Source organism: Homo sapiens, chromosome X (assembly GCF_000001405.40).
Source record: "Homo sapiens chromosome X, GRCh38.p14 Primary Assembly".
In the NCBI taxonomy this organism is placed as follows: Eukaryota; Metazoa; Chordata; class Mammalia; order Primates; family Hominidae; genus Homo; species Homo sapiens.
This window is the reverse complement of record NC_000023.11, coordinates 51,004,468-51,019,412: the sequence shown is the minus strand read 5'-3', so window position 1 is coordinate 51,019,412 and position 14,945 is coordinate 51,004,468.

Genomic DNA, 14,945 nt, shown 5'->3' with positions numbered 1-14,945 from the left:
AAGCCTGAAGAGAGTTTGGGCCAATATTCAACATTCTTAAAGAAAAGAATTTTCAACCCAGAAATTCATATCCAGCCAAACTAAGCTTCATAAGTGAAGGAGAAATAAAATCCTTTACAGACAACCAAATGCTGAAGGATTTTGTCACCACCAGGCCAACCTTACAAGAGCTCCTGAAGGAGCTCCTGAAGGAAGCACTAAATATGGAAAGGAAAAATCAGTACCAGCCACTGCAAAAACATCCCAAAATGTAAAGACCATTGACACTATGAAGAAACTGCATCAACTAATGGGCAAAATAACCAGCTAGCATCATAATGACAGGATCAAATTCACACATAACAATATTAACCTGAAATCTAAACGGGCTAAATGCCCCAATTAAAAGGCACAGACTGGCAAATTGGATAGGTATCAAAAGCCATTGGTGTGCTGTATTCAGGAGACCAATCTCATGTGCAAAGAAACACATAGGTTCAAAATAAAGGGATGGAGGAAGATTTTCCAAGCAAATGGAAAGGAAAAAAAAGCAGGGGTTGCAATCCTAGTCTCTGATAAAACAGACTTTAAACCAACAAAGATCAAAAGAGACACAGAAGGGCATTCCGTAGAGGAGAGCCAAGATGGCCAAATAGGAACAGCTTCAGTCTATAGCTCCCAGCATGAGCGACACAGAAGACAGGTGATTTCTGAATTTCCAACTGAGGTACTGGGTTCATCTCACTGGGGAGTGTCAGAAAGTGGGTGCAGGACAGTGGGTACAGCACACCAAGCATCAGCCGAAGCAGGGCGAGGCATTGCCTCACCCAGGAAGCCCAAGCGGTCAGGAAATTCCCTTTCTTAGTCAAAGAAAGGGGTGACAGACGGCACCTGGAAAATCAGGTCACTCCCACCCTAATACTGCGCTTTTCCAATGGTCTTAGCAAATGGCACACCAGGAGATTATATCCCTCACCTGGCTTGGAGGGTCCTACGCCCACGGAGCCTCGCTCATTGCTAGCACAGCAGTCTGAGATCAATCTGCAAGGTGGCAGCAAGGCTGGGGTAGGGGCGCCCGCCATTGCCGAGGCTTGAGTAGGTAAACAAAGCAGCCGGGAAGCTTTAACTGGGTGTAACCCACCACAGCTCAAGGAGGCCTGCCTGCCTCTGTAGACTCCACCTCTGGGGGCAGGGCATAGCCATACAAAAGGCAGCAGAATCCTCTGCAGACTTAAATGTTCCTGTCTGACAGCTTTGAAGAGAGTAGTGGTTCTCCCAGCACGCAGCTAGAGATCTGAGAACAGACAGACTGCCTCCACAAGTGGGTCCCTGACACCCGAGTAGCCTAACTGGGAGGCACCCCCCAGTAGGGGCAGTCTGACAACTCACACGGCCGGGTACTCCTCTGAGACAAAACTTCCAGAGGAACAATCAGGCAGCAACATTTGCTGCTCACCAATATCCGCGGTTCTGCAGCCTCCACTGCTGATACCCAGGCAAATAGGGTCTGGAGTGGACCTCCAGCAAACTCCAACAGACCTGCAGCTGAGGGTCCTGACTGTTAGAAGGAAAATTAACAAACAGAAAGGACATCCACACCAAAACCCCATCTGTACGTCACCATCATCAAAGACAAAAGGTAGATAAAACCACAAAGATGGGGAAAAAACAGAGCAGAAAAACTGGAAACTCTAAAAATCAGAGCACCTCTCCTCCTTCAAAGGAACACAGCTCCTCACCAGCAACGGAACAAAACTGGACGAAGACTGACTTTGATGAGTTCAGAGAAGAAGGCTTGAGAAAATCAAACTACTCTTAGCTAAAGGAGGAAGTTCGAACCCATAGCAAAGAAGTTGAAAACCTTGAAAAAAAATTAGATGAATGGCTAACTAGAATAACCAATGCAGAGAACTCCTTAAAGGACCTCATGGAGCTGAAAACCAAGGCACGAGAATTACGTGACGAATGCACAAGCCTCAGTAGCCAATTCAATCAACTGGAAGGAAGGGTATCAGTGATGGAAGAGCAAATGAATGTAATGAAGTGAGAAGAGAAGTTTAGAGAAAAAAGAATAAAAAGAAATGAACAAAGCCTCCAAGAAATATGGGACTATATGAAAAGACCAAATCTACGTCTGATTGGTGTACCTGAATGTGACCGGGAGAATGGAACCAAGTTGGAAAACACTCTGCAGGATATTATCCAGGAGAACTTTCCCAAACTAGCAAGGCAGGCCAACATTCAAATTCAGGAAATACAGAGAACACCACAGAGATACTCCTCGAGAAGAGCAACTCCAAGACACATAATTGTCACATTCACCAAAGTTGAAATGAAGGAAAAAATGTTAAGGGCAGCCAGAGAGAAAGGTCGGGTTACCCACAAAGGGAAGCCCATCAGACTAACAGCTGATCTCTCAGCAGAAACTCTACAAGCCAGAAGAGAGTGGGGGCCAATATTCAACATTCTTAAAGAAAAGAATTTTCAATCCATAATTTCATATCCAGCCAAAGTAAGCTTCATAAGTGAAGGAGAAATAAAATCCTTTACAGACAAGCAAATGCTGAGAGATTTTGTCACCACCAGGCCTGCCCTAAAAGAGCTCCTGAAGGAAGCACTAAACATGGAAAGGAACAACTGGTACCAGCCACTGCAAAAACATGCCAAATTGTAAAGACCATCAAGGCTAGGAAGAAACTGCATCAACTAACGAGCAAAATAACCAGCTAACATCAAAATGACAGGATCAAATTCACACATAACAATATTAAACTTAAATGTAAATGGGCTAAATGCTCCAATTAAAAGACACAGACTGGCAAATTGGATAAAGAGTCAAGACCCATTAGTGTGCTGTATTCAGGAAACCCGTCTCATGTGCAGAGACACACATAGGCTCAAAATAAAGGGATGGAGGAAGATCTACCGAGCAAATAGAAAACAAAAAAAGACAGGAGTTGCAATCCTAGTCTCTGATAAAACAGACTTTAAACCAACAAAGATCAAAAGAGACAAAGAAGACCATTACATAATGGTAAAGGGATCAATTCAACAAGAACAACTAACTATCGTAAATATATATGCACCCAATACATGAGCACCCAAATTCATAAAGCAAGTCCTTAGTGACCTACAAAGAGATTTACACTCCCACACAATAATAATGGGAGACTTTAACACCCCACTGTCAACATTAGACAGATCAACGAGACAGAAAGTTAACAAGGATATCCAGGAATTGAACTCAGCTCTGCACCAAGCGGACCTAATAGACATCTACAGAACTCTCCACCCCAAATCAACAGAATATACATTCTTCTCAGCACCACACCGCACTTATTCCAAAATTGACCACATAGTTGGAAGTAAAGCACTCCTCAGCAAATGTAAAAGAACAGAAACTATAACAAACTGTCTCTCAGACCACAGTGCAATCAAACTACAACTCAGGATTAAGGAACTCACTCAAAACTCCTCAAGTACATGGAAACTGAACAACCTGCTCCTGAATGACTACTAGGTACATAATGAAATGAAAGCAGAAATAAAGATGTTCTTTGAAACCAACGAGAACAAGGACACAACATACCAGAATCTCTAGGACACATTCAAAGCAGTGTGTAGAGGGAAATTTATAGCACTAAATGCCCACAAGAGAAAGCAGGAAAGATATAAAATTGACACCCTAACATCACAATTAAAAGAACTAGAGAAGCAAGAGCAAACACATTCAAAAGCTAGCAGAAGGCAAGAAATAACTAAGATCAGAACAGAACGGAAGGAAATAGAGACACAAAAAACCCTTCAAAAAATTAATGAATCCAGGAGCTGGTTTTTGAAAAGATCAACAAAATTGATAGACTGCTAGCAAGACTAATAAAGAAGAAAAGAGAGAAGAATCAAATAGATGCAATAAAAAATTATAAAGGCGATATCACCACCAATCCCACAGAAATACAAACTACTATCAGAGAATACTATAAACACCTCTACGCAAATAAACTAGAAAATCTAGAAGAAATTGATAAATTCCTTGATGCATACACCCTCCCAAGACTAAACCAGGAAGAAACTGAACGTCTGAATAGACCAATAACAGGCTCTGAAATTGAGGCAATAATTAATAGCTTACCAACCAAAAAAAGTCCAGGACCAGATGGATTCACAGCCGAATTCTACCAGAGGTACAAGGAGGAACTGGTACCATTCCTTCTGAAACTATTCCAATCAATAGAAAAAGAGGGAATCCTCCCTAACTCATTTTATGAAGCCAGCATCATCCTGATACCAAAGCCTGGCAGAGACACAACAAAAAAAGAGAATTTTAGACCAATATCCCTGATGAATATCGATGCAAAAATCCTCGATAAAATACTGGCAAACCGAATCCAGCAGCACATCAAAAAGCTTATCCACCATGATCAAGTGGGCTTCATCCCTGGGATGTAAGCCTCGTTCAACATATGCAAATCAATAAGCGTAATCCAGCATATAAACAGAACCAAATACAAAACCACATGATTAGCTCAATAGATGCAGAAAAAGCCTTTGACAAAATTCAACAACGCTTCATGCTAAAAACTCTCAATAAATTAGGTATTGATGGGATGTATCTCAAAATAATAAGAGCTATTTATGACAAACCCACAGCCAATATCATACTGAATGGGCAAAAACTGGAAGCATTCCCTTTGAAAACTGGCACAAGACAGGGATGCCGTCTCTCACCATTCTATTCAACATAGTATTGGAAGTTCTGACCAGGGCAATCAGGCAGGAGAAGGAAATAAAGGGTATCCAATTAGGAAACGAGGAAGTCAAATTGTCCCTGTTTCCAGATAACATGATTGTATATCTAGAAAACCCCATTGTCTCAGCCCAAAATCTCCTTAAGCTGATAGGCAACTTCAGCAAAGTCTCAGGATACAAAATTAATGTGCAAAAATCACAAGCATTCTTATACACCAATAACAGACAAACAGAGAGTCAAATCATGAGTGAACTCCCATTCACAATTGCTTCAAAGAGAGTAAAATACCTAGGAATCCAACTTACAAGGGATGTGAAGGACCTCTTCAAGGAGAACTACAAACCACTGCTCAATGAAATAAAAGAGGATACAAAGAAATGTAAGAACATTCCATGCTCATGGGTGGGAAGAATCTATATCGTGAAAATGGCCATATTGCCCAAGGTAATTTATAGATTCAATGCCATCCCCATCAAGCTACCAATGACTTTCTTCACAGAATTGGAAAAAACTACTTTAAAGTTCATATGGAACCAAAAAAGAGCATGCATTGCCAAGTCAATCCTAAGCCAAAAGAACAAAGCTGGAGGCATCACGCTACCTGACTTCAAACTATACTACAAGGCTATAGTAACCAAAACAGCATGGTACTGGTACCAAAACAGAGATATAGACCAATGGAACAGAACAGAGCCCTCAGAAGTAATGTCGCATATCTACAACCATCTGATCTTTGACAAACCTGACAAAAACAAGAAATGGGGAAAGGATTCCCTATTTAATAAATGGTGCTGGGAAAACTGGCTAGCCGTATGTAGAAAGGTGAAACTGGATCCCTTTCTTACACCTTATACAAAAATTAATTCAAGATGGATTAAAGACTTAAATGTTAGACCTAAAACCATAAAAACCCTAGAAGAAAACCTGGGCAATACCATTCAGGACATAGGCATGGGCAAGGACTTCATGTCTAAAACACCAAAAGCAATGGCAACAAAAGCCAAAATTGACAAATGGGATCTAATTCAACTAAAGAGCTTCTGCACAGCAAAAGAAACTATCATCAGAGTGAACAGGCAACCTACAGAATGGGAAAAAATTTTTGTAATCTACTCATCTGACAAAGGGCTAATATCCAGAATCTACAATGAACTCAAACAAATTTACAAGAAAAAAACAACCCCATCAAAAAGTGGGTGAAGGATATGAACAGACACTTCTCAAAAGAAGACATGTATGCAGCCAAAAGACACATGAAAAAATGCTCATCATCACTGGCCATCAGAGAAATGCAAATCAAAACCACAATGAGATACCATCTCACACCAGTTAGAATGGCAATCATTAAAATGTCAGGAAACAACAGGTGCTGCAGAGGATGTGAAGAAATAGGAACACTTTTACACTGTTGATGGGACTGTAAACTAGTTCAACCATTGTGGAAGTCAGTGTGGCGATTCCTCAGGGATCTAGAACTAGAAATACCATTTGACCCAGCCATCCCATTACTGGGTATATACCCAAAGGATTATAAATCATGCTGCTATAAAGACACATGCACACATATGTTTATTGCAGCACTATTCACAATATCAAAGACTTGGAACCAAGCCAAATGTCTGACAATGATAGACTGGATTAAGAAAATGTGGCACATATACACCATGGAATACTACGCAGCCATAAAAACTGATGAGTTCATGTCCTTTGTAGGGACATAGATGAAGCTGGAAACCATCATTCTCAGCAAACTATCACAAGGACAAAAAACCAAACACTGCATGTTCTCACTCGTAGGCGGGAATTGAACAATGAGAACACATGGACACAGGAAGGGGAACATCACACACCGGGGCCTGTTGTGGGGTAGGGGGAGAGGGGAGGGATAGCATTAGGAGATATACCTAATGTTAAATGACGAGTTAATGGGTGCAGCACACCAACATGGCACATGTATACATATGTAACAAACCTGCATGTTGTGCACATGTACCCTAAAACTTAAAGTATAATAAAAAATAAATAAATAAATAAAATAAAAATTAAAAAAAAGAAGGGCATTCCATAATGGTAAAGGGATCAATTCAACAAGAAGAGCTAACTATCCTAAATATATATGCACCCAATACAGGAGCACCCAGATTCATAAAGCAAGTTCTTAGAGACCTACAAAGAGACTTAGACTCCCAGACAATAATAGTGGGAGACTTTAACACCCCACTGTCAATATTGGAGAGATCAACAAGACAGAAAATTAACAGGGATATTCAGTACTTGAACTCATCCCTGGACTAAGCAGAACTAATAGACATCTACAGAACTCTCCATCCCAAATCACCAGAATATACATTCTTTTCAGCACCACATCGCACTTATTCTAAAATTGACCACATAATTGGAAGTAAAACACTCCTCAGCAAATGCAAAAGAACGGAAATCATAATAAACAGTCTTTCAGACCACAGTGCAATCAAATTAGAATTCAGGATTAAGAAATTCACTCAAAACCACACAACTTCATGGAAACTGAACAACCTGCTCCTGAATGACTACTGGGTAAATAACGAAATTAATGCTGAAATAAATAAGTTCTTTGAAACCAATGAGAACAAAGACACAAAGTACCAGAATCTCTGGGACACAGCTAAAGCAGTGTTTAGAGGGAAATTTATAGCTCTAAATGCCCACAGGAGAAAGTAGGAAAGATCTAACATTGACACCCTAACATCACAATTAAAAGAACTAGAGAAGCAAGAGCAAACAAATTCAAAAGCTAGCAGAAGACAAGAATAACTAAGATCAGAGCAGAACTGAAGGAGACAGAGACTCAAAAAACCCTTCAAAACATCAATGAATCCAGGAGCTAGTTTTTTGAAAAGATTAACAAAATAGATAGACTGCTAGCCAGACTAATAAAGAAGAAAAGAGAGAAGAATCAAGAAGACACAATAAAAAATGTTAAAGGGGAGATCACCATTGATTCCACAGAAATACAAACTACCATCAGAAAATAGTATAAATACTTCTAATAAACTAGAAAATCTAATAACTAATAAACTAGAAACTAATAAACTAGAAAATCTAGAAGAAATGAATAAATTCCTGGACACACACACCTCCCAAGACTAAACCAAGAAAAAGTAAAATCCCTGAATAGACCAATAACAAGCTCTGAAATTGAGGCACTAATTAATAGCCTACCAACCAAAAAAAGCCCAGGACCAGATGATTCATAGCCAAATTCTAGCAGAATTACGAAGAGGAGCTGGTACTATTCCTTCCGAAACTATTCCAAACAACAGAAAAAAAGGGAGTCCTCCCTAACTCATTTTATGAGGCCAGCATCATCCTGATAACAAAACCTGGCAGAGACACAACAAAAAAGGAAAATTTCAGGCCAATATCCCTGTTGAACATCGATGCAAAAATCCTCAATAAAATACTGGCAAACTGATTCCAGCAGCATATTAGAAAGCTTATCCACCTCAATCAAGTCAGCTTCATCCCTGGGATGCAAGGCTGGTTCAACACATGCAAATCAATAAACGTAATCCATCACATAAACAGAACCAATGACAAAAACCACATGATTATCTCAATAGATGCAGAAAAGGCCTTCAATAAAATTCAACACCCTTCATGCTAAAAGCACTCAGTAAACTAGGTATTGGTGAAACATATCTCAAAATAATAAGAGCTATTTATGACGAACCCACAGCCAGTATCATACTAAATGGGCAAAATCTGGAAGCATTCCTTTTGAAAACCAGCACAAGACAAGGATGCCCTCTCTTGCCACCCCTATTCAACATAGTTTTGGAAGTTCTGGCCAGGACAATCGGGCAAGAGAAAGAAATAAAGCGTATTCAAATAGGAAGAGAGGAAGTCAAATTATCTCTGTTTGCAGATGACATGATTGTATATTTAGAAAACCCCATTGTCTCAGCCCAAAAACTCCTTAAGCTGATAAACAACTTCAGCAACATCTCAAGATACAAAATCCATGTGCAAAAATCACGAGCATTCCTATATACCAATAATAGACAAACAGAGAGCAAAATCATGAGTAAATGCCCATTCACAATTGCTACAAATAGAATAAAATACCTAGGAATACAACTTACAAGGGATGTGAAGGACCTCTTCAAGAAGAACTACGAACCACTGCTCAAGGATATAACAGAGGACACAAATAAATGGAAAAACAGTCCATGCTCATGAATAGGAAGAATCAACATCGTGAAAATGGCCATATTGCCCAAAGTAATTTATAGATTCAGTGCTATTCCCATCAAGCTACCACTGACTTTCTTCACAGAATTATAAAAAACTACTTTAAAGTTCATATGGAACCAAAAAAGAGCCCATATAGCCAAGACAATCCTAAGCCAAAAGAGCAAAGCTGGAGGCATCACGCTACCTGACTTCAAACTATACTACAAGGCATACTACACTACTTGTATACTATACTACAACTATACTACAGTAACCAAAACAGTATGGTACTGGTACCAAAACAGATATATAGACCAATGGAACAGAAGAGAGGCCTCAGAAATAATACCGCACATCTACAACCATCTGATCTTAGACAAACTGACACAAACAAGAAATGGGGAAAGGATTCCCTATTTAATAAATGTTGTTGGGAAAACTGGCTAGCCATATATGCAGAAAACTGAAACTGGACCCCTTCCTTACACCTTATACAAAAATTAACTCAAGATGGACTAAAGATTTAAATGTAAGACTTAAGCAATTGCAAGAAAAGCCAAAATTGACAAACGGGATCTAATTAAACTAAAGAGCTTCTGCACAGCAAAAGAAACTATCATCAGAGTGAACAGGCAACCTACAGAATGGGAGAAAATTTTTGCAATCTATCCATCTGACAAGGGGCTAATATCCAGAATCTACAAGGAACTTAAACAAAGTTACAAGAAAAAAGCAACCCCATCAAAAAGTGGGTGAAGGATATGAACAGACACTTCTCAAAAGAAGACATTTATGCGGCCAACAAACATATGAAAAAAGCTCATCACTCGTCATTAGAGAAATGCAAATCAAAATTGCAATGAGATACCATCTCACACCAGTAAGAATGGCGATCATTAAAAAGTCAGGAAACAACAGATGCTGGAGAGGATGTGGAGAAATAGGAATGCTTTTACACTGTTGGTTTGAGTGTAAATTAGTTCAACCATTATGGAAGACAGCGTGGCAATTCCTCATGGATCTAGAACTAGAAATACCATTTGACCCAGCAATCCCATTACTGGGTATATACCCAAAGGATTATAAATCATTCTACTATGAAGACACATGCACATGTATGTTTATTGCAGCACTATTCACAATAGCAAAGACTTGGAACCAACCCAAATGCCCACTAATGTTAGACTGGATAAAGAAAATGTGGCACATATACACCATGGAATACTATGCCGCCATAAAAGAATGAGTTCATGTCCTTTGCAGGGACATGGATGAAGCTGGAAGCTATCATTCTCAGCAAACTAACACAGGAACAGAAAACCAAACACTGCATGTTGTCATTCATAAGTGGGAGTTGAACAATGAGAACATATGGGCACAGGAAGGGGAACATCACACACCAGGGCCTGTCGAGGGGTGGGGAGCAAGGGAAGGGATAGCCTTAGGAGAAACATGTAATGTATATGACTGGTTGATGGGTGCAGCAAACCACCATGGCACACGTATACCTATGTCACAAACCTGCAAGTTCTGCACATGCATCCCAGAACTTATAGTATACATATAAAAAAAAGAAAAAAAATACCTACTCCAAAGTAGCAGTTAACCTAGCTGTTCCTCAGGTAGGAGTGGAACAACAAAAAAACAGGAACACCTGCACAACATGAAACGTTGTGAATATCATAAAAGATAAAATATGGAACACTTGGTAAATAAAACCTTATGTATTAAATATGCTCATTCATATGCAAATATATGTAAATGTTAATTGAAATGCTGGCCGCACAATGGAACTTTAAATCAAGAAGGACTAATAATACACCATGAAAATGATGAGAACTAATATGGTTTGGCTATTTGCCCCCACCAAATCTCATGTTGAAACGTGATCCCCAATGTTGGAGGTGGCCCCTGGCAGGAGGGTTTGGGTCATGGGGGTGGATCCCTCCTGAATGGCTTGGTGCCCTCTGCATGGCAATGAGTTCACAAGAGATCTAGTTGTTAAAAAGAGTCTCAGATCTTCCCCCACTCTCTTGCTATCTCTCTCCTCATGAGACACGCTGGTTCCCCTTGCCTTCCACAATGAGTAAAAGCTTCCACAGGCCTCACCAGACAGAGATGCTGGCGTCATGCTTTTTGTATAATCTGCAAAACCATAAGCCAAATAAAGCTTCTTCCTTGATAAATTACCCACGTCAACACAACACAAAATGGACAAACACAACAGCTCAGCAATATTTCAGTTCAGATCCCAGCTAACCCCTGCTGTCACCCTGTGATCTTGGGTCATAGACTTGGGTCATAGACTTGGGTCATAGCATTACATTCTTTTTCTCTAACACAGGCATTTAAAGGAGAACTTTCCCAGGTGGTCCAGGATTCAGTGAGATGTATTATGCAAACCTGTCAGTTACATGGGCATATGCTCCAAAGAACTAAATGCCTCCACTTGTGTTGGAGGCAACACAAGTGCCCACCAATGGATGAGTAGATAAACAAAATGTGGTATATAATATTATTCTGCCTTAAAAACAAAGGGAATTCTGACACATACTGCAGCATGGATGAAACATGAGTCATTATGCAAAGAGAAATAACCAAGACACAGAAGGACAAATATTGTATTATTCTGCTTATCTGAGCTACCTAGAGTAATCAGTTCACTGGGATATAAAGTAGAGAGGTAGTTTCCAGTGGCTGGAGGAGAGAGGAATAGGAAGTTAGTGTTTAATGAACACACAATTCCTGTTGGGGATGATGAAAAAAGTTCTGGAGATGGATGGGAGTGATGGTACATGACCACTGTAAATGTGGTTAATTCCATAGGACTGTATAATTAAGATAGTTTAAATGGTAAATGTTAAGTGTATTCAATCAGAAAGAACACAGGAATGAAGTACTGATGTATGTTATAACATGGATGAACCTTGAAAACACCTTAAGTGAAAGAAACCAGACCCAAAAGGCACATAGTGTATGAGCCAATTTATATGGAATGTCCAGAACGGCAAATCCATAGAGTCAGAAAGTAGATTAGTAGCTTCCAGGGACTGAAGGAGGGGGAAATGGGAAAGGACTTCATAATGGGTACTGAGTTCCCTTTGGAGATGATAAAAATGCACCGGAACTAGACAGGTGGCTGTACAACACTGTCAAGGTGTTAAATTTCACCAAATTGTGTACTTAAAAATAGAAGCCATCATTCTCAGCAAACCAACACAGGAACAGAAAATCAAACAGTGCATGTTCTCACTCATAAGTGGGAGTTGAACAATGAGAACACATGGACACAGGGAGGGGAACAACACACACCAGGGCCTGCTGGGGGGTGAGGGGCAAGGGGAGGGAGAGCGTTAGCACAAATATCTAATGCATGCAGGGCTTAAAACCTAGATGACGGGTTGATAGGTGCAGCATATCACCATGATACATGTATACCTATGTAACAAACCTGCACATTCTGCACATATATCCCGGAACTTAAAGTGAAAAAAAAAAAGGTTAAAATGGGGAAATGGTGAAATTCATATCAAGTAAATTTACCTCAAAAATACTCATCTCTTATATTTATTTCACTGTGCATAGGATTTGTTCCTTAAAGGACATGGTGCAAAGTTGCAGCCTTCCTGAGCCCTGGCTACCACAATAACACTTGAAGCCCAAGTCCAAACCCAAAGTCATAAGAGATAGAACTCTTTATTATGAACTAGTGACTTTCATGGCTGGACAACAAAGTACAAAATGGTGCCTTGAGACTGACTTTTTGATTGACAGGCAGGCATCCCTGCCCCTGTCCTCTGCCCTGACAGTTTGGTACACATCCCCAGGACCTATTTCCCTATCTGCAAGAAAATGATTCGCAAGGACCTTATGGTATAAACCAACCAGTGAGCTCTCCTGGGCACACCCACTCCTCGAGTATTCCCACAGGGCTTTCCTCCCTCCCACTCTGCTCCCCTTCACCTACCCCTCAGTGCTGCACAGCCCCTGAGTCCTTGGCACTCAGTCAGGCAGAAGGCATCAGGCTCATGCCAGAAACAGCCAGTGAAGGCTGGTCACTGCTGGTCATGACCAGTTCAGACTTGTCAAGCCTGGTCAAAACCAGATAAGACTGATCAAAGCTGGGCACAGTCAGTCAAAGCCAGTCAAATATGGTCAATTCTGGTCCCAGCCAGTGAAAGCTGGTCATGGCTAGTCAAGACCAGTTAATTGCAGTCATGGCTGGTATAATCAGTCCCAGACAGTCAAGACTGGTCTAGACTGGTCAGAACCTGTCATGCCCTGTCACAGCCTGTCAAAGTCAGTCAAGACCAGTTGATATCAGTCAAGGCTGGTCACAGGTCACATTGGGAGTCAGTGTCAGGGTCAGAATCTGGTTTAGGGTTTAGGGTTAGGGTTAGGGTTAGGGTTTAGGGCTAGGTTTAGTGTAGGGCTTGTTATGGGGTTGTGTTTAGAGTTAGGGTTGTGGTTATAGTTAGGACTAAGGCTAGGGCTAAGGCTGATTACATGGTAATCAGCAAAAATAATCACCAATAAATAGTTGGTTTCCAGAAAACTAAAATAGCAAAGTATAAAGATGATTATATCCTGGCTTTTGCCTTCTCTTTCAGTCTGGTTTTCTACAAAATTGAGTGATATACACATGGATTTCCTTAACTTTGCAAGGATGTAGAGAGAATAAATGTCTGATAGATGACATAATGCCAATTTCATCATTTATTCATCAGACATTGATTGAATACCTGTTGTGTGTGAATTGATGTGCTAAGTGTTGGAGTTTGTGCATTTTCTCCCTTATACTACACACACTCAATACAGGACAGTTCTGGCCACCAAATGAGGGGATTTTTCACACATTAACACATTTTTCTATTATCTGCAGACACCGGCTGGATGTCCTACAATTCAGTTCAATTCTATCACTAACTGGAGTTAGCATAGATCCCGCACTTTAAGAGTGCAGTCCCACAAGACTGCCTCCCACCCCAGATGCCAATCTTAAGCCCCAGGTTTTCACCTGTACTTCTAACTGACTGGCTATCATTCAGGGTTCCTATGACTCTTGGCTTTGATAATTTGTTAGAACTCACGGAACTCACGAAAACACTTGTTACATTTACCAGTTTATTATATAATGAAGAATATAATGAAGGATATAGATGAACAGCCCTTGAAGGGATACATAGGGTGAGGCCTGGAAGGGTCCTGAGTGAAGGAGCTTCTGTCCCCATGGAGTTGAGGTGTGCCACCCTCCTGGCTCATAGGAGTGTTCAACGACCTGGAAGCATTCTGAACCCCATAGTTTAGGGACTTTTATGGAGGCTTCACCACACAGGTATGGTCTATTATTAACTCAATTTCTAGCTTGTGTCCCTTTCCCCGAGGATAGGAAGTGGAGCTGAAAGTTCCAAGCCCTCTAACCATGGCTTGGCTTTTCTGGTGACCAGCTCCATGCAGGAGGCCACCAAAAGTTGCCTCATTGGAACAAAAGACACTTTTATTACCCAGAAAATTCAGGCTCTGTGTCAGAAATGGGGATCAGAGATCAAATATTAGAACAAGAGATGTTCTGTACACTCCTATTGCTCAGGAAATTACAAGGGTTTTAGGAGCTCTATTACAGGAACTGGAGACAGGAGACAAAACATGTATTCCTTGTTATATCACAATATCACAAAGGTATAAGGATATATGTCATCAAAGAGAAAGGTAGAAAATTATAAATCTGAAATTACTAATATTGGTTAAAGGGGATAAAAAGGGACACTGGAGGAAGAAGGTTAAGAAGAAGCAAGGCAAATTGTTTTAACTGTTCACAAAAACCCAATGTACATGTTAATCACACATATATATTGGGTGCATTTGTGTTCGTGTGTGCATATATGGAAGAAGAGATGCATTAAAGGATGGTCACTGTATTTGTTATCATTGCCATACCATATTACCATCAACTTAGTGTCTTAAAGCAAAACTCATTTATTAATTCACAGTTTTCATGGCT